Source organism: Homo sapiens, chromosome 16 (genome assembly GCF_000001405.40).
Source record: "Homo sapiens chromosome 16, GRCh38.p14 Primary Assembly".
Classification (NCBI taxonomy): domain Eukaryota; kingdom Metazoa; phylum Chordata; class Mammalia; order Primates; family Hominidae; genus Homo; species Homo sapiens.
Window position 1 is genome coordinate 70,427,581 of NC_000016.10, and position 26,990 is coordinate 70,454,570.

General features: G+C 51.4%; 1 protein-coding gene, 1 long non-coding RNA gene and 2 pseudogenes across 2 annotated transcripts in view, besides 10 other annotated features; all 4 read right to left on the reverse strand.

Moving 5' to 3' along the window:
- ST3GAL2 (ST3 beta-galactoside alpha-2,3-sialyltransferase 2) overlaps positions 1–11,520 on the reverse strand; it is a 63,124-nt gene extending 51,604 nt beyond the window's left edge. Inside the window, exon 1 of the mRNA NM_006927.4 lies at positions 11,369–11,520. The gene's annotated coding sequence lies outside the window, so the exon portion shown is untranslated. The remainder of the gene's footprint in view (positions 1–11,368) is intronic.
- Positions 288–979: an enhancer, noted in NCBI's record as "H3K27ac-H3K4me1 hESC enhancer chr16:70461771-70462462 (GRCh37/hg19 assembly coordinates)". NCBI's record gives its function as "activates a minimal SCP1, AML or CMV promoter by ChIP-STARR-seq in naive H9 embryonic stem cells {active_cell/tissue: H9 hESC(naive)}" and the evidence as "EXISTENCE:reporter gene assay evidence [ECO:0000049][PMID:30033119]".
- Positions 557–816: an enhancer, noted in NCBI's record as "active region_11060". NCBI's record gives its function as "activates an Ori minimal core promoter by ATAC-STARR-seq in GM12878 lymphoblastoid cells {active_cell/tissue: GM12878}" and the evidence as "EXISTENCE:reporter gene assay evidence [ECO:0000049][PMID:35858748]".
- Positions 980–1,669: an enhancer, noted in NCBI's record as "NANOG-H3K27ac-H3K4me1 hESC enhancer chr16:70462463-70463152 (GRCh37/hg19 assembly coordinates)". NCBI's record gives its function as "activates a minimal SCP1, AML or CMV promoter by ChIP-STARR-seq in naive H9 embryonic stem cells {active_cell/tissue: H9 hESC(naive)}" and the evidence as "EXISTENCE:reporter gene assay evidence [ECO:0000049][PMID:30033119]".
- Positions 1,787–1,876: an enhancer, noted in NCBI's record as "active region_11061". NCBI's record gives its function as "activates an Ori minimal core promoter by ATAC-STARR-seq in GM12878 lymphoblastoid cells {active_cell/tissue: GM12878}" and the evidence as "EXISTENCE:reporter gene assay evidence [ECO:0000049][PMID:35858748]".
- Positions 3,054–3,745: an enhancer, noted in NCBI's record as "NANOG-H3K27ac-H3K4me1 hESC enhancer chr16:70464537-70465228 (GRCh37/hg19 assembly coordinates)". NCBI's record gives its function as "activates a minimal SCP1, AML or CMV promoter by ChIP-STARR-seq in naive H9 embryonic stem cells {active_cell/tissue: H9 hESC(naive)}" and the evidence as "EXISTENCE:reporter gene assay evidence [ECO:0000049][PMID:30033119]".
- Positions 3,107–3,216: an enhancer, noted in NCBI's record as "active region_11062". NCBI's record gives its function as "activates an Ori minimal core promoter by ATAC-STARR-seq in GM12878 lymphoblastoid cells {active_cell/tissue: GM12878}" and the evidence as "EXISTENCE:reporter gene assay evidence [ECO:0000049][PMID:35858748]".
- Positions 5,950–6,510: an enhancer, noted in NCBI's record as "H3K27ac-H3K4me1 hESC enhancer chr16:70467433-70467993 (GRCh37/hg19 assembly coordinates)". NCBI's record gives its function as "activates a minimal SCP1, AML or CMV promoter by ChIP-STARR-seq in primed H9 embryonic stem cells {active_cell/tissue: H9 hESC(primed)}" and the evidence as "EXISTENCE:reporter gene assay evidence [ECO:0000049][PMID:30033119]".
- Positions 9,472–9,651: an enhancer, noted in NCBI's record as "active region_11063". NCBI's record gives its function as "activates an Ori minimal core promoter by ATAC-STARR-seq in GM12878 lymphoblastoid cells {active_cell/tissue: GM12878}" and the evidence as "EXISTENCE:reporter gene assay evidence [ECO:0000049][PMID:35858748]".
- Positions 11,192–11,391: a silencer, noted in NCBI's record as "silent region_7672". NCBI's record gives its function as "represses an Ori minimal core promoter by ATAC-STARR-seq in GM12878 lymphoblastoid cells {active_cell/tissue: GM12878}" and the evidence as "EXISTENCE:reporter gene assay evidence [ECO:0000049][PMID:35858748]".
- Positions 11,492–11,671: a silencer, noted in NCBI's record as "silent region_7673". NCBI's record gives its function as "represses an Ori minimal core promoter by ATAC-STARR-seq in GM12878 lymphoblastoid cells {active_cell/tissue: GM12878}" and the evidence as "EXISTENCE:reporter gene assay evidence [ECO:0000049][PMID:35858748]".
- RPS27P26 (ribosomal protein S27 pseudogene 26) lies at positions 17,094–17,332 on the reverse strand (annotated as a pseudogene).
- RNU6-23P (RNA, U6 small nuclear 23, pseudogene) lies at positions 17,718–17,819 on the reverse strand (annotated as a pseudogene).
- LOC124903708 (uncharacterized) lies at positions 25,457–26,956 on the reverse strand. Its single transcript, XR_007065104.1, has 2 exons — positions 26,738–26,956; positions 25,457–25,887 (listed from the first exon to the last, which is right to left on the reverse strand). It is a non-coding gene; the product is annotated as an uncharacterized LOC124903708 (long non-coding RNA).
- Between the last annotated feature and the right edge of the window lie 34 nt (positions 26,957–26,990).

Consider the following 26,990-nt stretch of genomic DNA (forward strand, 5'->3'; position numbering starts at 1 on the left):
CCCGCCTCAGCCTCCCAAAGTGCTGGGATTACAGGCGTGAGCCACTGCGCCTGGCCAAACCCAGTATTCTTTCTGTATTCCCAATTTCTGGGAAAGGAACCCCCATCCATCTAAGCCTGAAATGTAAGAGTCATATGTGAGCCCTCCTTCCTCAACCTCTCACAGCCAATCTATTACAAATCTCAACTAATTTTTACCACTGAAATGTCTCTCAGATCTATTTCTCGCTCTGTCTACAACCATCACTCCATCCAAGGAAATGTCATTCTTCACCTCCAGCAGTCCTAACCACTTAAGCCCCAGATCTACTAAACGGACCCCCTTCAACTCCTTCTTCATAGGGTAGCCAAAGTGGTCTTCACATAAGCAAATCTCATTAGATCCCCATCTCTAATTCCTCTCATCACAACAGCCAGACCTCCCAATGCTCTGGGGTAAAGGCGGAACTCCCCAAAGGCCCCAGGTCTGGCTGGCTGGGCTGCAGGATAACCCTGACACCAAAATGGAACGGAAAGGTCTGGAAGTCACTGCTCTGTCCACAGCCCTGGCACCACTCCTGGGGAGGCTTCAAACTCCTGAGTCAGGCTCAGAATGAGCTCAGTCTTGCCAGGTTTGTCCCCTCCCCCAGTGCACAGCTGACCGCAGATGGGAAAGGGAGCTGGTGGCCAGGCAGGGGAAACCCAGCTGGGCCGAAGCCAGGGGCTGTGTATTTCAGGAGGAGGTGACAGAGCGGCAGCAGCACCAACTCAACTGTCAGTATCTGTGGGGCCAGCTAAGAGAAGGCAGCTATCTGGGATTACAAAACTCAAGGAGTCTATCTCTTCCCTCTTATCAGACTGACCTTTGGCAGCCTTGCAGCCTGTGAACAAACTGCCATTAACAACCCCTCCCCCGCTTCCTGTAAGCACAATTCTTTGTGACCAGCCCAGGACAGCCAGAGGCTGCCAGAAAGCCTGCCCCTTCCTCCCTGCTAGGGTGGGGCTTGGGGCCCATCTCTCCCCAGACCCCTCTATCCTATCCCTCCCTCTTGGACACAATCCAGGAAACCTTATGCTCTGCTCAAACTGGACTTCTCAAGGTCCCCACACGTCCCCTGCCTTCTCAGTTCAGGCCTTTGTATCTTGGTATGTGTGGCCTTTTCCTCACTACCTTCCTCCTCTTCTCTACAGTGAGATCCTACCCAGCCCCTTCCAAGCGGGTTCTCAACTCCTCACAGATCTGCCACGTGGCTGTGCGGCTGACCCAGCGCCTCCCAGATCAGTCTGATTCCACCTCCCACCCTGGCTTTGGGGAAAAACCTGGCTAGAGCAGAGCACAGGATGTAAAAGGGTGGGGGAGAACTTGGCAAATAAAAAAATGGGAATCCTATTAACAGTCACCCCAGGGCCTAAATGGTGGCCAGAGTAAGAAGGGAGGAAAGAGACCAGATGGAGTTTTCTGCCTGAATCCAGGACAGAGCAGGAGTTGGAAGTGGGGGTGAGGAACTACTGGATGCAGGGGAACTGAGCACAGCCCCCTCAGCTGCAGGAGCCTGAGTTGTCCAGGGAGATGCCAGAGCAGGCTGGCTGCTGCTTAACGCATCCAAACAGGTTAGGAGAAAGTTCAAGCCAATTCCCACAGACATCTGGCCCTTATGATGGCCTCCTGGGCCCCCAGTACTACCTCCCCACTCAGGCTGTGGCGGGCTTCTGTCAATCAGGTTGACCAGATGGCTGAAGAATGAATCCCTGAGGCCGGGTAAGGTGGCTCAAGCCTGTAATCCCAGCACTTTGGGAGGCTGAGGTGGGCAGATCACGAGGTCAGGAGATCGAGACCATCCTGGCTAACACGGTGAAACACCGTCTCTACTAAAAATACAAAAAATTAGCCGGGCGTAGTGGCAGATGCCTGTAGTCCCAGCTAGCAGGCTGAGGCAGGAGAATGGCATGAACCCGGGAGGCGGAGCTTGCAGTGAGCCGAGATCGCGCCACTGCACTCCAGCCTGGGCAACAGAGCAAGACTCTGTCTCAAAAAAAAAAAAAAAAAAAAGAGTGAATCCCTGAGCAGGGCTTTAAATTCTTTTTTTTTTTTTTTTTTTTGAGACAGAGTTTCGCTCTTATTGCCCAGGCTGGAGTGAAATGGGGTGATCACGGCTCACTGTAACCTCCACCTCCCAGGTTCAAGTGATTCTCCTGCCTCAGCCTCCCCAGTAGCTGGGATTACAGGCGCCCTCCACCACACCCGGCTAATTTTTTGTATTGTTAGTAGAGATAGGGTTTTGCCATATTGGCCAGGCTGGTCTTGAACTCCTGACCTCAGGTGATCTGCCCGCCTTGGCCTCCCAGGCTTAGAGAGGGGTAATGACTTGCCCCGGGTCACACAGCACCAAAACCCTGTGGGTAGCTAAGGCAGCAAGAATCCTATATGCATTCAACCAGACCAAGCCCTAGACTGTGAAAATCAGCTGCACCCTCATGCCCCCTGAGAATAACAAGCTGCTTTCCCTTGAGGACAGCCAAACAGACCTGCCCTGATGCTCCTGGGCCCTCGGCCAGCCCAGGCCTCCACCTGGGCCTCTGGGCTGCCAACAGAGGGCCAGCAGGCCTCACTTTGTCTGCACAGCATTAGTGGCAGGGTATGCCCAGGGATCCAGGCTGGGCAGGAACTGCCAGGACTGGCAGCATGGGTGGAAGACAATGCCCTCTAAAATACCTCAGCCAGGTCTGAAGGGGCTGAGGTATGCAGACAGCTGGGCACTGCCACTTGAGATGAAAACTCACACTCATTCTAGAAGCCTACCCACTGTTGCTTTAAGGACAAGAGTAAATTGCTTTTCAGGCACTGAGGAAAATCCTTCATCAAACAGCCACCACTGTGATCTTGGGCTGCACCTCCTTGACACAAACTATTGACCTGCTTCCCATGCCACAGCCTCTTCCCGTCTAAGGAAGTACCAGTGTTGGCCCCCTTCACGAGGGGAGCCTGAATGGGATCCCCATTCCTCTCCTCACCATCTCCTCCTACCCATGGACCTGGGGTCTCCCCTGAGCCATGCTGGAGGCCCCAGAAACCAGCCAAACACTAAACAGGCCTGGATCCAGGGAAATACTAAGCCCTTTGGGACAGGAAGGAGCAGAGAGAGGGCCAGGCCCCAGAAACTCCCTTGTGGTCTGGCAACCCGAACCCAGGACTCACACTGCTCCCTAGAGCACCCAAGAGAGGTGGGAACCGAGGAGGCCGGGGTTCTCTCCTCTCCCTTTACTTTCCCACACAGCCTCATTCCCTTTGGTTGCTGCCATCTTTTCTTGTGTAGCCTAGGGACTCCACACAGGCCCACAGAAACTTTCACTTCCCCCTGAAACTCAGGTTCCAATTCACTGCCTGCATCAAATCGCTGGTGCTTTGTGTTTAACTGAACTTGGGTAGGAACAAAGGTTGGGGAAACCTGACTTACAGGGCAGGGGAGATTCCATATTCTACTAATGTCCCTTGCAAACAAAAAGGAAGCCTGCAAAGAAGACAGGAAGGAGGGGGCGTGGGGGAGGCAGGCAGCAGGGGGTGGAGAGGTGGGGGTGGCAGGGCGGGGCAATCTCCTGACGTGTGCCTCTCCTCATCTTCCCCTCTTCACTGTCAGCCCTAGTCCCTCTAAGTTCCCTTTAGCCACACAAATATCTTGTTGATTTTTCCACACCAAAGTAGTTCCCTGTAGACCAATTAGCTATTAACATTTGTTGCCAATTTTCTCCCTCCAAAGGCTGCTGACCTGCTGAGGCTGGGGGGCTGCTGCCTGCCCGCAGGGCTAGGACTGCTCAGTCAAGAGAGAAAAGACAGAGCAGGTCCTTGGGTCATGCCGCAACACCTCAGGGTCCCCTCTCTGCCCCTGGGCCCCGCAATGCCACCTCCCAGGAGGACGGGCCCCTTCACCTAGAAACCAATAGCATCAGAAAGAAGAAGCTGGGTTGTTTTCAACATCTGATACCAGAACTATGTGTGTTGTGTTAATTATCACCAACATGCAAATAAAATTTAGCCAGGTGGGAGGATCACTTGAAGCCAGGAGTTCAAGACCAGCCTGGGAAACACAGCAAAACTCCCATCTCTTTAAAAAAAAAAAAAAAAATTGGCCAGGTGCAGTGGCTCACCTCTGTAATCCCAGCACTTTGGGAGGCCGAGGCGGGCAGATCACGAGGTCATGAGATCGAGACCATCCTGGCTAATACAGTGAAACCCCGTCTCTACTAAAAATACAAGAAAATTAGCCAGGCGTGGTGGCGGGTGCCTGTAGTCCCAGCTACTCGGGAGGCTGAGGCAGGAGAATGGCATGAACCCAGGAGGCAGAGCTTGCAGTGAGCCGAGATGGCGCCACTGCACTCCAGCCTGGGCAACAGAGCGAGACTCCGTCTTAAAAAAAATATATATATATATATTTTTTTTTAACTTAGCTGGGCACAAAGTAGTGTACACCTGTAGTTGCTGCAGCTACTCAGGAAGCTGAGGTGGAAGGACCACTTGAGCCCAAGAGTTCAAGGCTGCAGTGAACTATGACAGCACCACTGTATTCCAGCCTGGGTGACACAGCGAGGCCCCATTTAGCATGATTGGTAAAATTTTTAAAAATTACATTTTTTCCTCTAGATTTACCTTGGCCCTTGTTCACCTTATTGTACATGGTAGTATCCACTGCATTAATAGTTGGTAAAACAGCAAACATATTTGAATTGAGGGAAAGTCCTCTTCACTCCAGGAAGATGACCTGCTCTAAGAATCTGCAGGGATAAGGCACCCTTCAGCATAGCTCCTCCTGCCTCCACCCAAGACAACTCTGTTCCCTCCCTCCCACCCATTTCTGCAGCAGGAAACCACCAGGGCTCAGCTAGAAAGCTAGGATTGCCCAAAGCCCAGCCTGTGCCCTGGAACCCTACAAGGTCCACAACGGCAACATGGAAGCCTGACAATATGTTGTAACTACAACAATGATTTATAAATAGCAACAAGAAGTACGCTAAAATGGCTGGTTAGGGACATAGGCAGGGGTCCCTGATGAGCATGGCATAACTGGAGGAAAAAGCCTGATTTCCCCCAGATAGCAGGCAAAGTTCAGACCCCCCTTCTTGCGACATGTCACTTGGAGATGTCTACCCTAATAGCTGAATGAGGACTTATCATTAACAAGCACTCTGAGCAGAGAGGAAGGAAAACTCGGTCTCAGAAAGCAGGGCCAGGCCCTTTAGTTGGTAAGGACTCAGGTGTGTGGGACGGAAGCTGGGACACAGGAACTGAAAGCACAGAAGGGGAAGGAGGAGAAGCCCATCCCGGGCTGCATGTGGAAACAGAAGAGATGCAAAAGCACCCAGCTGGCAGAGAGCCCCAGCTGTGTCCACCACATAGAGAGCCTCTGGGGCTCGGCGGCCCCACCGCCTCAGGGCAAGGCTCCCAACCTCAGGAAGCTCACCAGGATTCCGGGTGTGCGGTCAGCATAAGCACACAGCTCCTCCAAAGCGAGGCCACATCACCTTCTCCTAAACTCTTCCTCCTCCTGACTGCCCCATTTCAGTAAAGGAACCAGCTCTCATCACCAGGCACTGAAACTCCAAGCCCCAGCCCATCAGTGTCTGCTCTGAAGACAGCTACTTTTGCAAGCTCTCTAGACTCCGTCCCCTCTTTTCCACTTCTACTGCCAAGTGCCGGCCTGCATACCTCAATTGGACTCTATCTAGTTCTCCATCTCCTCCCTCCCTCCTCTCCCTGTCCCCTTATGACCCAGCCATACCCTGCTGCCAGTTTGCCCTCGGTCTGCTCAGAAACTAGTCAGACTAAAGCCCCCTGCTTCACCACCTGTCAGTTCAAGTCCTTATCCAGCACCTGTCTGGACAGATTTTTTGCAGTGTGTATTTTCTCTCCTTCTGGAGAGTTTTGCTTTTGGATGCAGGGTTGCGAGGGAACTGCCCAACATGCCACCAGCCCTTCCCTGGCCAAGGAAGGGAACAAGGGAACACGGCCCAGGCTGGGCCAACCAGACACTTCCTCCCTCAGATATGAATCCCAAGCAGTGATGACAAAATGAGTGAGCACAGCTGGAGCAGATGCATCCTGGCAACAGCGGTTCCCTGAAGAGACTGGCCTTTGGTTCCTGCTGCACCCACTCCAAGACCCTGGAGGGGACCTGGGTCCTGAGTCATCACTCTGATTTTATAGTTCCCACAGCTTTCCAAGGAAATGCTTTCCTGCCAAAGGCAGCCAAGTTGCTGCTTGCAACCAAATAGGATTCCTTACTACTTTCTAAATAAATCCCCTATGCTCTAGAAAAAAGGGACAACTCCCTAAATGTGCCTTGTGATAGCCTTTCTTTGTACCTGTTGGCCTGCACACCCCCTCCAGCCCACAGGCACTGCTTGGAAACCTACCCTTAGAGGCCCATCCCAAATGCCTTTTCTGAGCTCCCTATGGGGATGACTTCGACCTCCTTTAACTGGCCACATTTCCACTGTAGATCTATTGGTGGACTCGTCTTATCCCCCTCCCAGGAACAGCAACTTGGACATTACTGTCTCCTCCACAACACTCAGCACAGTTCTCAGCTCAAAAAGACTCAGACTTGGCCAGGCACAGTGTCTCACACCTATAGTCCCAGCAGTTTGGGAGGCCGAGGCAGGCGGATCACGAGGTCAGGAGTTCGAGACCAGCCTGGCCAACATGGCAAAACCCCGTCTCTAGTAACAATACAAAAATTAGCTGGCTGTGGTGGTGCGTGCCTGTAATCCCAGCTACTCGGGAGGCTGAGGCATGAGAGTCGCTTGAACCCAGGAGTCAGAGGTTGCAGTGAGCCGAGATCACACCACTGTACTCCAGCCTGGCAACAGAACGAGACTCCATCTCAAAAACAAAAAAAAAAAAATTCAGACTTTTGGGGGCAGACAACCCCAAAGGACAATTAAGGTTTGTTGAGCACATCAAGGAGCAGGAACTAAGAGCAGGGGCTGTGCATCAGAAAGACATGAGTTTCAACCCCAGATCCTCCTGCTGTCTGTTTGGGCACATCTGGTAAGTTCTGTAAGTCTCAGTTCTTCATCTACAAAGCAGCGGCAACAACACCCACCTTGCAGTGCTGCTGTGAGGATTCACTAACACCTGAGAGCATCTAGCACCATGCCTGGCTGGCAGCAAGCACTCAATGAACAGCAGCCATAATTCAGGCTATTAGCAGCAACTGGTTTAGCAGCCACTCCGTTGGCACTGGAATCAGGAGTCCCAGGGCCACTGTGTGACCCACAGTGTATCTCTGGGTTCCTCAGTAACCCTACCTGGGTCTGTATCTGCCTTATAAATGTTCCACTGACCTGTAAAACAACAGTTGGAAAATGCTTTGCAAAGCACAATGTAAGTGATGCCTCCTGCATTTCTAAATTTCAAAGACTCCCAGGTATCCTGTCCAGTGTGCAGCCATGGCAGGACTTTACTTGGCAGGCACCCCAACCCACTTGGTTGGGGAAACAGGCACAGGCCAGACGAGGGCCCGGTTCAGCAATTTGCTTCGATATCTTCACACAGCCACCCTTTTCCAAAGCCATGGCTCCTAAATTTCCTGCTTGGTTGTGGGGCCTTGCTTCAAATAACCGTGGGGCAGTGTCCCCCCAGTCATTACCAATCCTGGGCAACATCAGAATGAAAGAAAAGCCAAACCAGTACAGCTGCCAGAACAGCCTGGTGGGGAAGTAAGGTGGAAGAAAGTCCCTCTTAAGACTTTACATCTAGCTGGCTGGGCGCAGTGGTTCACGCCTGTAATCCCAGCACTTTCGGAGGCTCCAGCGGGCGGATCACCTGAGGTCAGGAGTTTGAGACCAGCCTGACCAACATGGAGAAACTCCATCTCTACTAAAAATACAAAAAAATTAGATGGGCGTGGTGGCGCATGCCTGTAATCCCAGCTACTTGGGAGGCTGAGTCAGGAGAATTACTTGAACCCGGGAGGTGGAGGTTGCGGTGAGCCGACATCGTGCCATTGCATTCCAGCCTGGGCAACAAGAGTGAAACTCTATCTCAAAAAATAAAATAAAAAATAAAATAAATTTTAAAAAAATACAAAAATTAGCCGGGCATGGTGGTGCATGCCTGTAATCCCAGCTATTCCAGAGGCTGAGACAGGAGAATCGCTTGAACCTGGGAGGCAGAGGTTGCAGTGAGCCGAGATCTCGCCATTGCACTCCAGCCTGGGCAACAAGAGGGAAACCTCGTCTCAAAATAAAATAAAATAAAATAAAATAAAATAAAATAAAAAAGACTACATCTAGCTGGGCGGAGTAGCTCACGCCTCTAATCCCAACAGTGGGAAGCTGAGGCGGGCGGAGCACCTGAGGTCAGGAGTTCGAGACCAGCCTGGCCAACATGAAGAAACCCCATCTCTACTACAAATACAAAAATCAGCCGGGCATGGTGGCAGATACCTATAATCCCAGCTACTTGGGAGGCTGAGGCAGGAGAATAGCCTGAACCTGGGAGGCGGAGGTTGCAGTGAGCTGAGATCACACCACTGCACTCCAGCCTGGGTGACAGAGCAAGACTCTATCTCAAAAAAAAAAAAAGACATCTGGCCAGGAGCGGTGACTCACGCCTGTAATCCCAGCACTTTGGGAGGCCAAGGCGGGCGGATCACCTGAGGTCAGGAGTTCGAAACCAGTCTGGCAAACATGGTGAAACCCCGTCTCTACTAAAAATACAAAAAGTAGCGGGGTGTCGTGGCGTATGCCTGTAATCCTAGGTTCCTGTCACCCCAGGAAGGGGTGGCCAACAAGGCCGAGACAAGAGAATTGCTTGAACCCTGGAGGCAGAGGCTGCAGTGAGCCGAGATCATGCCACTGCACTCCAGCCTGGGCAACAGAGTGAGACTTCGTCTCAAAAAAAGAAAAAAAAAAAAAAAAAGACTTCGCATCTGCTTGGATTAATCTCTCAAGAAATTGTGATGACCCCAAACCAGTGGTTCTCAAAGTGTTAGCCCTAGGGAGCTGGAGAGAGATGCAAAATATAGGCTCCACCAAGATTAAACCATAAAACTCTGGAGTCCCCTCACACACACACAATCTGTGCCTTAACCAGCTCTCCAGGAGACTATGACTCTCAGTCAAATGTGAAGAATCCTTCCCTAAACCTGTAACCATGAGACCTTCCGCTGTAATTCATTTACTGAACACCCACTAGGTGCTAAGGACCAAGCCAGGTGGTGGTATTTCAGAAAATGAGGACACATTTGAAGAGCATCCACAGTCTAATGAGAGCCAAAATGAAGTATACAAATATGGCCAAAATAAGGCAGGATGTGGTATAGGACAACGCAAAATAATCCATTTCCCACCCCTCTCCCCAGGCCCTACCCCTCAGGTCTTCTTTTGCCATGAAAAGACATGGAAAAACCAAGCCTCCCCAAATCCCCAATCCTGGTATTGCAGACTCCTTAATCCCAGGTGCCTTCTCGAGAAGAGTGGTCCTTACCCTGAGGCTTGGCCGGAGTAGAAATGCTCCCCTGAGGCCATAGCCAGTGGCTCTCAGAAGCTTGGCTTTATCTGGGATTTGCACTCCAAAAGTTCCCAGGAGCCATCAGCGTGCCACAGCACATCACAACAATGCGCTCCCAGGCAGGGTCACTCCCACAGGCCCCTGCCAGACTTGCAAGCAAGGGTGCAGAGGCAGACATAAACACCCACACAGACAGTTGGCCCCCTGGCCTCCCTTCCTCCATTCTCAAGTTACAAGGTTAAAAGCATCCAATTCACAGCCAAGGGGGAGGGCTGGGAAGGGGGTTGCTGAAGCAGTGAACCATCTGGTTCAGATCAAGATTGCTCCTTCAGGAACCCACATAACTCCTAGAGCCTCCTGTCCCTCCTTTCCTCCACCCAACCCACTGGGAAACTGGGGATTGGGGTAGAATGGATGACTATCCCCCTCTGCCCCCCCCGCAAAAAAAAAAAAATCTGAAGAGGACAAAACAAAAAACCTGAATAATACAGGCAAATCTGTGCCACCTCTCTGAGCCCTCGTTCCCTCTAAATCCTGAGTCCCACGACTAAACTTGAGATCACCGCCCACATACTCTGTGCCTTCCTCCACAGAGAGATCAGGGCAGCCAGCAGGCATCCCTCCCTGAAAGGGCAACCCCTCCAAAGTTAGCAGCAGAAGCAAGATGAAGCTTAGGGGTGTGGTCTCCCAGACTCCTCTTATGCCACCATCTCTCTAAAAACCAGCGATACCTTCCACCTGAGAAGGGCTTCAGAGCCCACCAGGCAAGGAAGGGGTGGCCAACCAGCTTCCAAACATCCGTCCCAAAGACGAGGCGGGAGTGTGTTACTGGCCAGAGGTCCCAGAGTGCCCTGTACTCCCCCGGAGGCTTTGACTGAAAAGAGGCCCCAGGTCCCTGCCTGCCCCCAGCACCTCTCTAGCCCCTTTCTCCAACACCACCTTTGACTCAATCCTCCGCTCCTTTACGCAGCTGTAAAGCAAGAGGGAAGATGGGAGACGGGAGATGGATGCAGTTGGCAAAAGATAAATCGAAAGGCTAACTTGAGCAAGCAAGCAATTGGTGCTGACTCCTCTACAGGCAGAGGGAACCCGGAGTGGGTTATGCGAAGGAGGGAAGGCCAACAGGAGCGGCAGGAAGCTAAGGGGAGACTCAAGTGAGCTCAGCCCAGAGCTGTAGCAGGGGGTGGGAAGTTTGGTCCAGTCACAGGGGAATGACTGGGGGTAAGAAATGACTTCCATTCCAAGGCAGAGAAGGAACAGGAGAGAGGAGAGACGAGGTTCAGACCAGCCTCCACGGGACTGGCGCTTTGGCCAAGTTTCTGGCTTCAGCCGTGCCTCAGTTTCCCCAAAGTAGGAAGGTCGAGCCGTGAGAACTGGGCCACTGAGGATGGTTAGGGGGCAGTGCCAGGTAGGGGAAAGATCACAGGGGAGAGAGGAAAGAGGAGCTGATGGGGCAGACAGGCTCTGGCCAAGAGTGGGGCCGGGGTCTCCCAGGTGGAGCAGAGGCCGGGAGACCCAGGGTTAGCGGTACGAACTAGGGAGTGGACTGGAAGTCGGGACCAGGGCAGAGAGCTCTTCCGAGGGCTGGGGCTGGGGCTGGGGTTGGGGTTGGGGGCTGCCGGCAAAGGAGCGGAGCGGGAGCCCTGGGAGGCTGGGAGCGGCTGGACGTGCAAAGCAGAAGGCGGGGATCCGGAATGAGGCCAACGCGCGCGGACCCCCGCCCACACGAGGGAGCCCGGCGCCCCGACCCGGGGGAAGTTGCCGGGCTGGAACGGGCCGGTCTGGGCCGCTGGGCCGCGCCAGCTGCCCGCGCAGGGGAGGTCTGGGCAGCCGGGGGCCCGGGGCGCTCTGCATCCCGCCCGCCCTCATCCCACCCGCGCACCTCAGTCAGCGCCCGGCGCCGCGCGGGCCATGCTCGCCGCTCCGGCCGCCGCCGCCGCCCGCGCAGAAAGCCGTCGCCGCCGCCGCCGCCGCCGCCGCCGTCGTCCGGACCCGTTAGCTCGCAGCTCTCTCGTCCGCCCGCCGTGGGCTAGTCCCGCCCTTGCCTGGCCCAACCCTCCCCGAGCGCCGCCGCCGCCGCCGCCTCAGCCCGGCCCCTCCCCCCACCCCTGCCCGGCTTGAAGGGAAGGGTGGGGGACAGGGGCGACTGCCCCCACCCCATTCACATCCTCCCCGTCTCTCCCTCCCTCCGCCCCCCGCACGCGCGCCGGCATGCTGGGATATGGAGTCCAGCGGGCGCTGGGTCGCTAGGGGCGCCCCGCATCCAGGACTACATCTCCCAGAAGACAGCGCGCGCATCCCAGGGATTGTGGGCTTTGTAGTTTCGCTAGGGCTCAGGGGGTCCGCCGTGCAGGAGGGGAGACGGAGGGGGATGGGAAGTCTTCATTCTCAGAAGGCCGGGCTCCAGCGGCTGGAGCAGACGGCCCCGAGCCGGGTTGGATACGTGGGTTCCTAGGGAGGTGCACACTAGCCGAGGACGCCTCTCAGATGCTGCTGTGGCCAGCTGCTGACGAGCCCGGCCGGAGGGCACTGTTCCCACTCGCGCTCTCAAAGAGCCGCGACCTGAGGCCAGCTTGGCTTCACGCCCGGGCTCTGAAAGCCCGAGCTGCGGTGGGGCCGCTGCGCCCTGGCCTGAGGGGAGAGAGACCCCATCAGCGGTGCGAGCGGGGGTTTGGCCTCGCTGGACTTTGTGTTCCCCACCTAGGAAAAGAGGAAAAGGGGGCAGAGTGTCTATTGGTTCCTCATCCACCGGGGCATCTCCCCCTTGCAGGCTCTCTCTTAGATGCCCGTAGCTTCCTGCTGTTGAGGGTAAAGTGAATGCATTTTAAATATTTGCCATGTCTTTTATTAGCCCATCCTTTCCCTAACTTCCGCACCTATTTCAAAACCTTTATGAAACTCCAGGTAGACTGCAGTTTCGCCCTCCAACAGGCTGAAGTGAGGCTGAAGTGGTTCTGAATTTTTGGTGTGTATGGGATCCTCTTGGCCAGCTTGTTTAAACGCAGATTGCTGCCCCCACCCTCAGCTTCTGGTTCTTTTAGCTCTAGGGCAGGCCCCAGAATTGGCATTGCTACCCCGTCTCCAGGTGTTGCTCATGCTGCCGGTTACTACCTTGATAACCTGATAACCTCTGCTGTTGGTGTTTGCTGCTAACACACCGGTATCCTCTTTCAAGGATGGCCCTTGTGTGGGATAATTAATAATGGCCCTGAAGAGCCAAACCCGGAAAGGCAGGGTCCCAGTCTAGTCCCCTTTAGCACAGGAACGCTCTTTGTTTTTGCTCAAGGTCTCACTGTCGCCCAGGCTGGAGTGCAGTGATGTCATCACGACCCCAGCACTTTGGGAGGCTGAGGCAGGTGGATCACATGAGGCCAGGAGTTAAGACCAGCCTGACCAACATGGCAAAACCCTGTCTCTACCAAAAATGCAAAAATTAGCTGGGTGTGGTAGTGCGTGCCTGTAATCCCAGCTACTTGGGAGGCTGAGGCACGAGAATTGCTTGAATCTGGGAGTTGGAGGTTACAGTGAGCTGAGATCATGCCATTGCACTCCAGCCTGGGCAACAGAGTGAGACTCTGTCTTAAACAAAAAAGGGCCAGGCGTGGTGGCTCACACCTGTAATCCCAGCACTTTGGGAGGCTGAGGCAGGTGGATCATGAGGTCAGGAGTTCAAGACCAGCCTGGCCAAGATGGTGAAACTCCGTCTCTACTAAAAATATAAAAATTAGCCGGGCATGGTGGCAGGCGCCTGTAATCCCAGCTACTCAGGAGGCTGAGGCAGGAGAATCACTTGAATCCGGGGGGATGGAGGTTTCAGTGAGCCAACGTCGCGCCACTGCACTCCAGCCTGGCCGGCAGAGCAAGACTCCGTCTCAAAAACAAACAAACAAACAAACAAACAAACAAAACACCGGCAGACTCTCAACACAAGTGATTTTACCCACCCTCCTCCCTCCACATTAAAAGGCTTCTACAGAGGCGGGTCACAGTGGCTCACGCCTGTAATCGCAGCACTTTAGGAGGCCTAGGCATGTAGATTGTCTGAGCTTAGGAGTTTGAGACCAGCCTAGGCAACGTGGAAAAACCCTGTCTCTCTTTATAAAAAAGAAAAGAAGGCTGGGCGCCATGGCTCATGCCTGTAATCCCAGCACTTTGGGAGGCCGAGGCGGGTGGATCACAAGGTCTGGAGTTCAGGGGTGGCCTGAACTCTTCCAGCCTGGCCAAGATGGTGAAACTCCGTCTCTACTGAAAATACAAAAAATTAGCGGGGCGTGGTGGCAGGCGCCTGTAATCCTAGCTACTGGGGAGGCTGAGGCAGAGAATTGCTTGAACCCAGGAGGTGGAGGTTGCAGTGAGCAGAGATTGCACCACTGCACTCCAGCCTGGACAACAGAGCAAGAATCCGTCTCAAAAAAAAAAAGAGACTTAAACAGTAATATAGTTTCTAACAGCTCAAGGTCACATCCTGGGATGACCCAAACCCACCTTAAAGTGCCTGCCTGAGAAGGCGCACCACTGCCGAAAGAATTTACTGTTCCAGGCGACACCCAATCATAGGCTCTGACTACACTTTCTCAGAGCATTTACTAAAAAGGGCTCACAATTGTGAATTCCTTATCTGATCCTTTGAGATGTGTAAGTATCTTCTACAACTCAAGAGTGTCTTTCTCAAGGACCTGAAAGCCATTCCTTGAATGTCGTCATCCTGAAGGATAAGGCCTCTTTGTGGGAGGACAGAATCCTAACTTTGATAATTGCCAGCTAGTGGACAGAGCTGTACATTGACCAATCCTTTGCAATTTTTCATGTCCCTGACTCTACCGAACCCCTGCTTGCCACCTTCCCTACTCCTTCATCCACTTTAAAACACAACTAGGCCAGGAACAGTGGCTCACACGTGTAATCCCAGCATTTTGGAAGGCCGAGGTAGGCGGAGCACTTGAGGTCAGGAGTTCGAGACCAGCCTGGCCAACATGTTGAAAGCCCATCTCTACTAAAAATACAAAAAATTAGGGCCGGGCGCAGTGGCTCATGCCTGTAATCCCAGCACTTTGGGAGGCCAAGGCGGGCAGATCATGAGGTCAGGAGATCGAGACCATCCTGGCTAACACGGTGAAACCCTGTCTCTACTAAAAATACAAAAAAAATTAGTCGGGCCTGGTGGCGGGCACCTGTAGTCCCAGCTACTCAGGAGGCTGAGGCAGGAGAATGGTGTGAACTCGGGAGGTGGAGCTTGCAGTGAGCTGAGATCACACCACTGCACTCCAGCCTGGACGACAGAGCGAGACTCCGTCTCAAAAAAAAAAAAAATGCAAAAAATACAAAAAATTAGCCAGGTGCAGTGGTGGGTGCCTGTAGTTCCAGCTGCTTGGGCGGCTGACGCAGGAGAATCACTTGAACCTGGGAGGCAGAGGTTGCAATGAGCTGAGGTTGCAATGAGCTGAGATCGCACCACTGCACTCCAGCCTGGGCAACAGAGCAAGACTCTGTCACAAAACAAACAAAAAACACAAGTTATCTTGCCAGACTCACTGGCTTGTGCCTGTAATCCCAGCTACTCTAGAGGCCGAAGTGGCAGGATCACATGAGGACAGGAGTTTGAGACCAGCCTGGGCAGCGTAACAAGACCCCATCTCTAAAAAATAAATTTAAATTCCCAGTCACTTCTGTACAAATCAAAGTTGGGCCAAGTTCACGCTGGACCCTCTTCCCTATTGCAATAGTATATTACAAATTAAAATCTGTTCTTACCACCTTTTTTTTTTCTTTTTAGAGACTAGGTTTTGCTGTCTCACCCAGGCTGGAGTGCAGTGGTGTGATCATGGCTCACTGCATCCTCGAACTCCTGGGCTCAAGGGATCCTTCCACCTCAGCCTCCCGAGCTGGAACTACTGGCACGCACCACCATGCCCAGCTAATTTTTGTATTTTTAGTAGAGACAGGGTTTCACCTCGTTGACCAGGATGGTCTCTATCTGTTGACCTTGTGATCCGCCAGCCTCAGCCTCCCAAAATGCTGGGATTACAGGCATGAGCCACTGCTCTGGGCCTTTTTTTTTTTTTTTTTTTAATGTCTTTTTTGACTGGGCAAGGAGGCTCATGCCTGTAATCCTAGCACTTTGGAAGGCTGAGGCAGGCAGATCACTTAAGGTCAGGAGTTTGAGACCAGCCTGGCCAACATGGTGAAACCCTCTCCCTACTAAAAATACATAAGTTAGCCGGACATGGTGGCGGGTGTCTGTAATCCCAGCTACTCGGGAGGCTGAGGCAGGAGAATCACTTCAACCCTGGGGGCAGAGGTTGCCGTGAGCCAAGATCGCACCACTGCACCCCAGCTTGTGCGACAGCCTGCCTCAGCTTCCCGAGTAGCTGGATTGTGCCACTGCACTCCAGCCTGCATGACAGAGCAAGACCCTTGTCTCTCAAAAAATAAAAGAAAATGTACCAAGTAGCTAATAGGAAATGTGCAATCATACAGTACTTGTCCTCTTGTGACCAGCATATTCTACTTAGCATAATGTCCACAAGGTTCATCCATATTGTAGCATATGTCAGAATTTCCTTCCTTTGTAAAGCTGGATAATACTCTATTATATGTACATACCACGTTTTCTTTATTCATTCATCTGTCAATGATGGGTTGTTTGTAGCTCTTGGCTACTTTAAATACTACTGCTATGAACATGAGTGTACAAATATCTCTTTGAGCTCCTGCTTTCAATTGTGTTGTCTATTTTCTTTTTTTCTTCGAGACAGGGTCTTGTTCTCAATTTTTGCTTCAAAATAATCCAGGTTTGAGGTATAGGTATAGATACAACAAGGTTGGTTAAATTGATAATTATAGAAGAGATGAGGCCACGCATGGTGGCTCACACCCATAATCCCAGGACTTTGGGAGGCCGAAGCAGGCAGATCACTTGAGGTCATGAGTTTGAGACCAGCCTGGCCAACAAGGCGAAACCCTGTCTCTACTAAAAATACAAAAATTAGCCGGGCATAGTGTCACATGGCTGTAATCCCAGCTACTTGGGAGGCTGAGGCAGGAGAATGGCTTGAACCCAGGAGGCAGAGGTTGCAGTGAGCAGAGATCGTACCACTGCACTCCAGCCTGGGCAACAGAACGAGACTCTATCTCCAAAAAAAAAAAAAAAAAAAAGAGGGGATGAGTAGTTTCTCTGGGTTAATTAATTATAACAATTTTTCATCTTTGAATATATTTGAAGTTTCCATAATAAAATGATTTTTTGGCTGGGTAAAAACTAATCAGGCGTGGTGATGCATGCCTGTAGTCCCTGCTATTTGTGAGGCTGAAGCAGGAGGATCAATTTAGTCTGGGAGGTCCAGGCTGCAGTGAACCATGATTGTGCCACTGCACGCTAGCCTGGGCAACAGATCAAGTGAAATTGCTGGATCATATAGTAATTTTTTTTTTTGCTCATAATCTTTATTGGAAAATGGACACCAAAATAGATCACTATTGTATACTTTGCAAAATCAAACATAATTATGAATACATTATCTTGGTAGATGAATTAGAATTGCTAGACTTATGATAAGGCTTTCTGTGAGATAACACAGATTCAGGAAGTGGTGTGGATCACTCCATTTGTGTTGCTTTCCTCTAAGTGAACACCCTCTGTGAGTCTGGGCTTTCCTTCTGTAGGCTGATACTGTTGAACAACCCACACAAAGAACCACTGTCTGAGCATGGCTGAAAACTATGGTAATCTTGGGACAATCTCAACATTTTACAACCATAAAATAAGAATTTGGACTTTGAACTAGCCATTTCTTTTATGATTTTTCTTTTCCTCTTCCAAAGACGGATGTAATAAATCTGTAGCCAAAGACTTGATCCTTTCGCAAGCCCTGCCTGTCCAGTCCAGATCTAGTAATTCTAGTGTTTTTTTTGTTTTGTTTTGTTTTTGAGATGGAGTCTTGCTCTTTTGCCCAGGCTGGAGTGCAATGGTGCAATCTCAGCTCACTGCAACTTCCATCTCCCGGGTTCAAGCGATTCTCCTGCCTCAGCCTCCTGAGTAGCTGGGATTACAGGCACATGCCACCACACCCGGCTAATTTTTGTATTTTTAGTAGAGATGGGGTTTCACCATATTGGTCAGGCTGGTCTTGAACTCCAGACCTCGTGGTCCACCTACCTCGGCCTCCCAAAGTGCTGGGATTACAGGTGTGAGCCACCGCGCCCGGCCTTCAATTTTTTTTTTTTTTTTTTAGTATGGAACGCTTCATGAATTTGCGTGTCATCCTTGCGCAGGGGTCATACTAATCTTCTCTGTATCGTTCCAATTTTAGAATATGTGCTGCCGAAGCGAGCACTCTAGTGTTAATTTTTTGAAGAGCACCATACTGTTTCCCGTATCTGCTGCACCATTCTCCACTCCCACCAACAGTGGACAGGCTTCCAATTTCTCCACACCTTCACTAACACTTATTTATTTATTTATTTGAGACAGAGTTTCGCTCTTATTGCCCGGCTGGAGTACAATGGCACGATCTCAGCTCACCGCAACCTCCACCTCCTGGGTTCAAGCGATTATCCTGCCTTAGCCTCCCGAGTAGCTGGGATTACAGGCATGCACCACCATGCTCTGCTAATTTTTGCATTTTTAGTAGAGACGGGGTTTCTCCATGTTGGTCAGGCTGGTCTTGAACTCCTGACCTCAGGTGATCCCCCTGCCTCAGCCTCCCAAAGTGCTGGGATTACAGGCGTGAGCCACCGCACCCAGCCTAACACTTGGTATTTTCTCAGAGCATCACTCTTCTTTTTTTTTTTTTTTCCCTCTGTACCTCAATGGGATGCAAAGGGAGCATCAAGTTTCCCCTTACCCTTCTCCTTCTCCTTCCCTTTCCTCTCCTTCTCGTTGTCCTTCCTCCTTCTTTTTTTTTTTTTTTTTTTGGACAGAATCTTGCTCTTTTGCCCAGGCTGGAGTGCAGTGGTGTGATCTAGGCTCGCTGCAACCTCCGCCTCCCAGGTTCAAGCAATTCTCCTGCCTCAGCCTCCCGAGTAGCTGGGATTACAGGTGCCTGCCACCATGCCCAGCTAATTTTTGTATTTTTAGTAGACACGGGGTTTCACCATGTTGGCCAAGCTGGTCTCGAACTCCTGACCTCGTGATCCGCCCGCCTTGGCCTCCCAAAGTGTTTGGATTACAGGCGTGAGCCACTGTACCTAGCCACATCACTCTTAATAAAACAAATGCAGATGAAAATCACCACACTGAGATATCATTTTTCACATACCAGATTGGCAACAATCAAAAAGCTTGATAACTATCTTGGCAAGAGTGTGGGGCATTCTTATCCACTGCTAGTGTAACTGGAAATCTGTGCCACCTAATCCCAAAATTCTGGGATTACAGATGGGAGACACCATGCCCGGCCTTTTTTTTTCTTTTTTAGTTTTCTTCCTCCAGTGCCAAGGAATTGGCTTTTTTGCGGGGTGGGGGGATACAGAGTCTGGCTCTGTCACCCAGGTTGAAGTGCAGTAGCGATATCTCAGCTCACTGCATCGTACACCCTCCAGGTTCAAGCCATTCTTTTGCCTCAGCCTCCCACGTAGCTGGGATTACAGGCACATGCCACCATGCTCGGCTACTTTTTGTATTTTAAGTAGAGATGGGGTTTCTCCATATCAGCCAGACTGATCTGGAACTCCTGCCCTCAGATGATCCGCCTGCCTCGGCCTCCCAAAATGCTGGGATTACAGGTGTGAGCCACTGCACCTGGCCTGGATTGCATTTTATGCTCCAGAGCTCCCTGTTCAATCAGATTGAGGCAAAATTTAGGTGAACTTACATCTTTACTTGGTTTCTTTCCCTGCCCTATCCTGCTTTCCCCACTCCCCTAGGAAGTCGCTTACACAAGAATTCCTGTCTCAGGCTCTGCATCTAGGCACCCAACCTAAAATATCCCTATGGGCAGTTCTGGCTCCCAGAGGGAATTTCTGCTACCAGTAACAGCCACACATCTCATCAGGGGCCTGAAGATTTCACCTTCTCCAAAAAGTCCTCCCTCCCAGACCTGGACCCTCACATTCTGGCAGTAGGTCATTTGTTTAACAATAAGGAGTTTGGATGCCTACATTGTATTAGGCACTGCGCTAAACCCTTTATGTGCATTAGCTCATGAAACCCTCCCAACAACCTAATTTGGAAATTCTATTTTAATCTCACAGATAAGGAAGTTGGGCTCAAACAGGTTGAGTGGCTTGCTCGCACGGTTAGAAAGTGATGAGAGGCCAGGTGTGGTGGCTCACACCAGTAATCCCAGCACTTTTGGAGCCCAAGGTGGGAGGATCGCTTGAGCCAAGGAGTTCAAGACCAGGCTGGAGGCCAAGAGTGGTGGCTCATGCCTATAATCCTAGAATTTTGGGAGGGTGAAGCAGACAAATCACCTGAGTTCAGGAGTTCAAGGCCAGCCTGGCCAGTATGATGAAACCCCATCTCTACTAAAAATACAAAAATTAGCCATGTGTTTGGCCAGGTGCGGTGGCTCATGCCTGTAATCCCAGCACTTTGGGAGGCTGAGGCGGGCGGATCATGAGGTCAGGAGATCGAGACCATCCTGGCTAACACGGTGAAACCCCGTCTCTACTAAAAATACAAAAAATTAGCCAGGCGTGGTGGCAGGCACTTGTAGTCCCAGCTACTCGGGAGGCTGAGGCAGGAGAATGGCATGAACCCGGGAGGCGGAGCTTGCAGTGAGCCAAGATCATGCCACCGCACTCCAGCCTGGGCGACAGAGTGAGACTCTGTCTCAAAAAAAAAAAAAATTAGCCAAGTGTGGTGGTATGTGCCTGTAATCCTCAGGAGGCTGAGGCAGGAGAATCACTTGAACCCGGGAGGCAGAGGCTGCAGTGAGCCGAGATTGGGCCACTGCACTGCAGCCTGGGAGACAGAGCGAGACTCCATCTCAAATAAAATAAAAAAACAACAACAAGAAAAAAACAAAAACCCAGCCTGAGCAACGTAGTGAGACCCAGTCTCTATGCTATAAGAAAAAAAATATTGTTTTTAAAGGGCTGAGTGTGGTGGCTCATGCCTGTAATCCCAGTACTTTGGGAAGCCACGGCAGGAGGATTGCTTGAACCCAGCTGTTCGAGACCAGCTTTGGCAACATGGCAAGACCCTGTGTGGTTGCACACACCTATAGTCCCAGCTACTTGGGAGGATCACTTGAGCCCAGGGGTTGGAGGCTGCTGTGAGCCGTGATTGCACCACTGCACTCCAAACTGGGCAACAGAGTGAGACCCTGTCTCAAAAGAGAGAAAAAAAGAAAAAGAAAAAAAAAAGAAAGTCGTGGCAGCTGAGCGGATTTGTCTAAGTTTAATCCTTGGATTTAATCACTAGACTCTGTTCTTTTTTATTTTTTGAGATGGAGTCTCGCTGTGTCACCCAGGCTGGAGTGTAGTGGCATGATCTTGACTCACTGCATCTCCTGCCTCCTGGATTCAAGCAATTCTCCTGCCTCAGCCTCCTGAGTGGCTGGGATTACAGGCACGCGCCAGCACGCCCAGCTAATTTTTGTATTTTTAGTAGAGACAGGGTTTCACCATGTTGGCCAGGCTGGTCTCAAACTCCTGACCTCAAATGATATGCCCACCTCGGCCTCCCAAAGTACTGGGATTACAGGCATGAGCCACCATGCCCGTCCGACTGTGCTCTATTTTATTGTTATTTTTTTGAGATGGAGTTTCACTCTTGTTGCCAAAGCTGGAATGCAGTGGCATGATCTCGGCTCACTGCAACCTCCACCACGTGGTTTCAAGCAATTCTCCTGCCTCAGCCTCCTGAGTAGCTGGGATTATAGATGCCCACCACCATGCCCTGCTAAGTTTTTGTATTTTTAGTAGAGATGGGTTTTACGTGTCGGCCAGGCTGGTCTCGAACTCCTGACCTCGTGATCCTACCGCCTCAGCCTCTCAAAGTGCTGGGATTACAGGCATGAGCCACCATGCCTGGCCGACTGTGCTTTATTTTATAACAGTTTGTGTGTATGTGTGTGTAATGGCTCTGTGTACCCCAGATGGTGAGGCCACGTACAGATTTTTGGGTCTGCTGCTGCACTGAGGGCTTCATTTTACTAAAAACCTTCCTTGAGTTTCTTTGCTCCTCAGGCAAGGAGATGCCAGAGCAGCCTGGAAGCTACCTCTCCTCTACTAACCATACTGCCCTAGGAGGTATAGGGTGGAGCATAAGGCCTCTAAGCTCCTTGGGGGCACACTGTTTTCTTGAGCCCCCACCAAACCCGCAGTTGCAGGCATCCCTACTTCCCACTTCACTGCAGAGCCCAGGACCTGCATTGCTGAGAACAGCAACAGTGAGAGGCAGTTCATCACCTCCCTGGAGGCCTCCTAGGTTCACAGAAGAAACAGCAGGCATTGAAGTGGGAGAAGGAGGATGAGACCTGGGCCAAGTGTAGATGGAGAATGACTCCAGTGGGAGAAGACTGAGGGAAGCAGACAGTGTGAGGAGAAGGTGGGTGGCGAGAGCTGAGCAGAAGGTTGCTCTTCATTCATTCAACCAATTGGGTTTTTTTTTTGAAACAAAGTCTCTCGCTCTGTCGCTCAGGCTGGAGTGCAGTGGTGCAATCCCAGCTCACTGCAACCTCCACCTCCCGGCTTCCAGCGATTCTCCTGCCTCAGCCTCCTGAGTAGCTGGGATTACATGCACCCACCACCATGCCCAACTAATTTTTGTATTTTTAGTAGAGAGAGGATTTCACCATGTTGGCCAGGCTGGTCTCGAACTCCTGACCTCAGGTGATCTTCCTGCCTCGGCCTCCTAAAGTGCTGGGATTATAGGTGTGGGCCACCACACCTGGCCAATCAATTGTTTTTAACCACCTACTGTGTCCGGAATTGGTGGGTTCTTGGTCTCACTAACTTCAAGAATGAAGCCACGGACCCTTGCCGTGAGTGTTACAGCTCTTAAGGTGGTGCGTCTGGAGTTTGTTCCTTCTGACGTTCGGATGTGTTCAGTTTCTTCCTTCTGGTGGGTTCGTGGTCTCCTTGGCTCAGGAGTGAAGCTGCAGACCTTCACGGTGAGAGTTACAGCTCTTAAGGTAGTGCGTCGGGAGTTGTTGGTTCCTCTCGGTGGGCTCCTAGTCTTGCTAGCGTCAAGACTAGAAGCTGTAGACCTTTGCGGTGAGCGTTACAGCTCATAAAAGGAGTGGGGACCTAAAGAGTAAGCAGCAGCAAGATTTATTGCCAAGAGCGAGATAACAAGACCTCCCCAATACCACAGGGGATCCTAGCAGGTTGCCGCTGCTGGCTCCGCAACCTGCTTTTATTCTCTTATCTGGCCCCACCCACATCCTGTTGATTGGTAGAGCTGAGTGGTCTGTTTTGACAGGGCGCTGATTGGTGTGTTTACAATCCCTGAGCTAGACACAAAGGTTCTCCACGTCCCCACCAGATTAGTTAGATACAGAGTATCGACACAAAGGTTCTCCAAGGCCCCACCAGAGTAGCTAGATACAGAGTGTGGATTGGTGCACTCACAAATGCTGAGCTAGACACAGGGTGCTGATTGGTGTGTTTACAAACCTTGAGCTAGATACAGAGTGCCCATTGGTGTATTTACAATCCCTGAGCTGGACATAAAGGTTCTCCACGTCTCCACCAGACTCAGGAGCCCAGCTGGCTTCACTCAGTGGATCCCGCATTGGGGCTGCATGGTGGAGCTGCTTGCCAGTCCTGCGCCCTGCGCCCGCACTCCTCAGCCCTTGGGTGGTCGATGGGACTGGGCGCCGTGGAGCAGGGAGCGGCGCTCGTCGGGGAGGCTCTGGCGGCACAGGAGCCCACGGCGTGGCTGGGGAGGCTCAGGCATGGCGGGCTGCAGGTCCGGAGCCCTGCCCCGCGGGGAGGCAGTTAAAGCCGGGCGAGAAATCGAGCGCAGCGCCAGTGGGCCGGCACTGCTGGGGGACCCAGCACACCCTCTGCAGCCGCTGGTCGGGGTGTTAAGCCCCTCATTGCCCGGGGCTGGTAGGGTCGGCCGGCTACTCCGAGTGCGGACCCGCCAAGCCCACACCCACCCGGAACTCGTACTGGCCCGCAAGCACCGCGCACAGCCCCGGTTCCCACCCACGCCTCTCCCTCCACACCTCCCTGCAAGCTGAGGGAGCCGGCTCCGGCCTTGGCCAGCCCAAAAAGGGGCTCCCGCAGTGCAGCGGTGGGCTGAAGGGCTCCTCAAGTGCCGCCAAAGCGGGAGCCCAGGCAGAGGAGGCGCGGAGAGCGAACGAGGGCTGTGAGGACTACCAGCACGCTGTCACCTCTCACTACCATGTCCTCAGCACTGTTCTAAGGCCTGAGGATACAATGGTGAACAAACCAAACATCCTGCTTTAATGGAGCAGGATGGGAATAATGACGATAATCATAATGGTTAATACTTTTTGAGTATTTACTATGGAGTCAAGCATTTATCCTACCCTCACAACAATCTCAGATATTTGATACTATTATTAACTTACTTTATAGATGGTTACACAGAGTTAGAGCAGGGTCCATCTCCATTGTGACTGACCTCAGTGCCTCTCAGCCTCATTATTTTGTAAATTTATTTTTTTTTAAATTTTATTTGTTTTTTGAGACAGAATCTCGCTCTGTCACCCAGGCTGGAGTGCAGTGGCACGATCTCAGCTCAGTGCAATTTCCGCCTCCTGGCTTCAAATGACTCTCCTGACTCAGCTTGCCGAATAACTGAATTACAGGCTCCTGCCACCACGCCTGGCTAATTTTTGTATTTAAAAAATTGGCCATTGGCGGCCGGGCACTGTGGCTCATGCGTGTAATCCCAGCACTTTGGGAGGCCGAGGTGGGTGCATCATGAGGTCAGGAGATCAAGACCATCCTGGCTAACACGGTGAAACCCCCGTCTCCACTAAAAGTACAAAAAACTAGCTGGGCGTGGTGGCGGGTGCCTGTAGTCCCAGCTACTCAGGAGGCTGAGGCAGGAGAATGTCATGAACCTGGGAGGCAGAGCTTGCAGTGAGCCGAAATGGTGCTACTGCACTCCAGCCTGGGAGACAGAGTGAGACTCCATCTCAAAAAAAAAAAAAAAAAAAAAATTGGCCACTGACTGGGCACGGTGGCTCACGCTTGTACTCCCAACGCTTTGGGAGGCCGAGGTGGGTGGATCACCTGAGGTCAGGAGTTGGAGACCAGCCTGAACATGGTGAAACCCCGTCTCTACTAAAAATACAAAAATTAGCTGGGCGTGGTGGCACATGCTTGTAATCCCAGCTACTCAGGAGGCTGAGGCAAGAGAATCACTTGAACCTGGGAGGCGGAGGTTGCAGTGAGCCGAGATCACACCACTGTACTCCAGCCTGGGCAACAGAGTGAGACTCTGTCTCACAACAACAATAACAAAAAAATTGGCCAGGCTCATCTTGAATTCCTGACCCCGAGTTTTCTGCCTGCCTTGGCCTCCCAGAGTGCTGGGATTACAGGCATGAGCCACTTCGTCCGGCCCTAATTTATATATATTTTAGAGACGGGGTCTTGCTATGTTGCCCAGGCTGGTCTCAAACTCCCAAGCTCAAGCCATCCTCCCACCTTGGCCTCCCAAAGTGTTGGGATTACAGGCGTGAGCACCTGTGCCCAGCTTTAGGCTCCTTATTAACAACAGATTTGGAAAGTACATTCTTGTAAGAAAAATTCAAACAATACAGATAAAGCTCAAGTTCTCCCCGCTTGTCCCCATGCTTAGCAGTCTCTCCCTAGCATGCGTTCGCTTCCAGCCCTGTTCCTGTGTATCCACACACTATCTGTCCATAAACATTATTTTTTATTTGAGGGGCTTCCCATACATATTGCTCTACAACTTGCTGCTTTTCCCTTAACATGATGTCCTGAACATCACTCCCTACTGAACATATAGAGCATCTGTCTTGCATGGATGTGCCTAGTTTAGTTTTCCAGTTGTAAACCAAAAAGCACCAGATACTGGTCTCAATCAATTTACAAGTTTATTTTGCCAAAGTTAAGAATGTGTGCACCTGGGAGACAGGTCTGTACCTTTCTCCAAAGATGATTTTGAGGGCTTCAATATTTAAAGGGGAAAGGTCAGATATTGGGGAAAGAGGAATTTTTTTTTTTTTTTTAGACAGGGCCTCACTGTGTTGCCCAGGCTGGAGTGCAGTGGTGCAATCTCAGCTCACTGCAACCTCTGCCTCCCGGGTTCAAGCGATTCTCCTTCCTCAGCCTCCCAAGCTGCTGGGACTACAGGTGCGCGCCACCACGCTCAGCTAATTTTTGTATTTTTAGTAGACGGGGTTTCACCATATTGGCCAGGCTGGTCTTCAACTCCCGACCTCATGATCCACCCGCCTCGGCCTCACCAAAGGGCTGGGACTACAGGTGCGAGCCACCGTGCCTGGCCTGAAAGAGGAAATTTTTAAAAGGCATGGGTAGGTAAGAGGCAAATGGCTGCATTCTTCTGAGTCTTTGATAAGCCTTTCACATGTTAGAGGGGGATAGAGGACTAGTCACTTATGCATTCATCTAGCTCAGTGAATATGCATTTTTACATAAGAAAAAATAAACATAGGGCAGAGGAAGCAATGAGATATGCATTTGTCTCAGGTGAGCTGAGAGATGACTTTCAGTGCTGTCAAAGCCCAGCACCTGTGAAGATAAGCTATAAATTTACATTGTCACTGAAATTCCACACAACTGTTTTAGGGTACAGATTTGGGGGCACACAAGGAATTTCCTAGTGGGCAAGTTGTGAGGGCCAGGCCATATCTAGCTTTTTTATCTTTGTAGTTATCTTGTTTAAGAATAAAATGGGAGGTAGGTTTCCCTGATGCAGTTCTCAGCTTGACTTTTCCCTTTGACTTAGTGACTTTGGGGTCCTGAGATTTATTTTCCTTTCACATAGTAACCTAGAGAGAGACACTCAGAGTATTTCCAATTGTCATCTATGACAATCAATGCTGCCATTCACAACTTTCCCAAAAGGTCCGCAGATCCCCTCCCCATTACGGAGTTGGAAAGTTTCTTCCCAAAGGATCCACGTGATGAAACCAGCGCAAACCTTTCCAACTGCAAATCGAATGGCAGCTGCTTCCGCTTGGGCAAAGCGTGATTTTTTTTTTTCCTCCATCAGTGGATTTTTCTCCAGAGGAAAGCGGAAGCTCCTGGTGCCGTCCAGAAGGTGTTAAAAAAAAAAAAAAAAAAAAACCCAAACGAGAAAACAAACAAAAAAGCTACACATTAACCTATTAACCTGGATCCCGGAGTCCCAGAAAACGGGCCTCTGTCTTTAAGGCGCTTCGGTCCTCTGGGAGTTGTAGTTTCGTGGGTCCTGGAGCGGCCCCCTTCCCATCTCCCTTCTGGATTGCAGCCCCGCTGCCCTTCAGGAAAGCGCTGCCCCGGCCACCCACGCTGGCCTATGCGGTGGCTCCGACCGTGTTTTTTGCCGGACGGGGGCTCGGCCTTGGGGGGGCGCGGAGGTGAAACTACACTTCCCGGAGTGCACC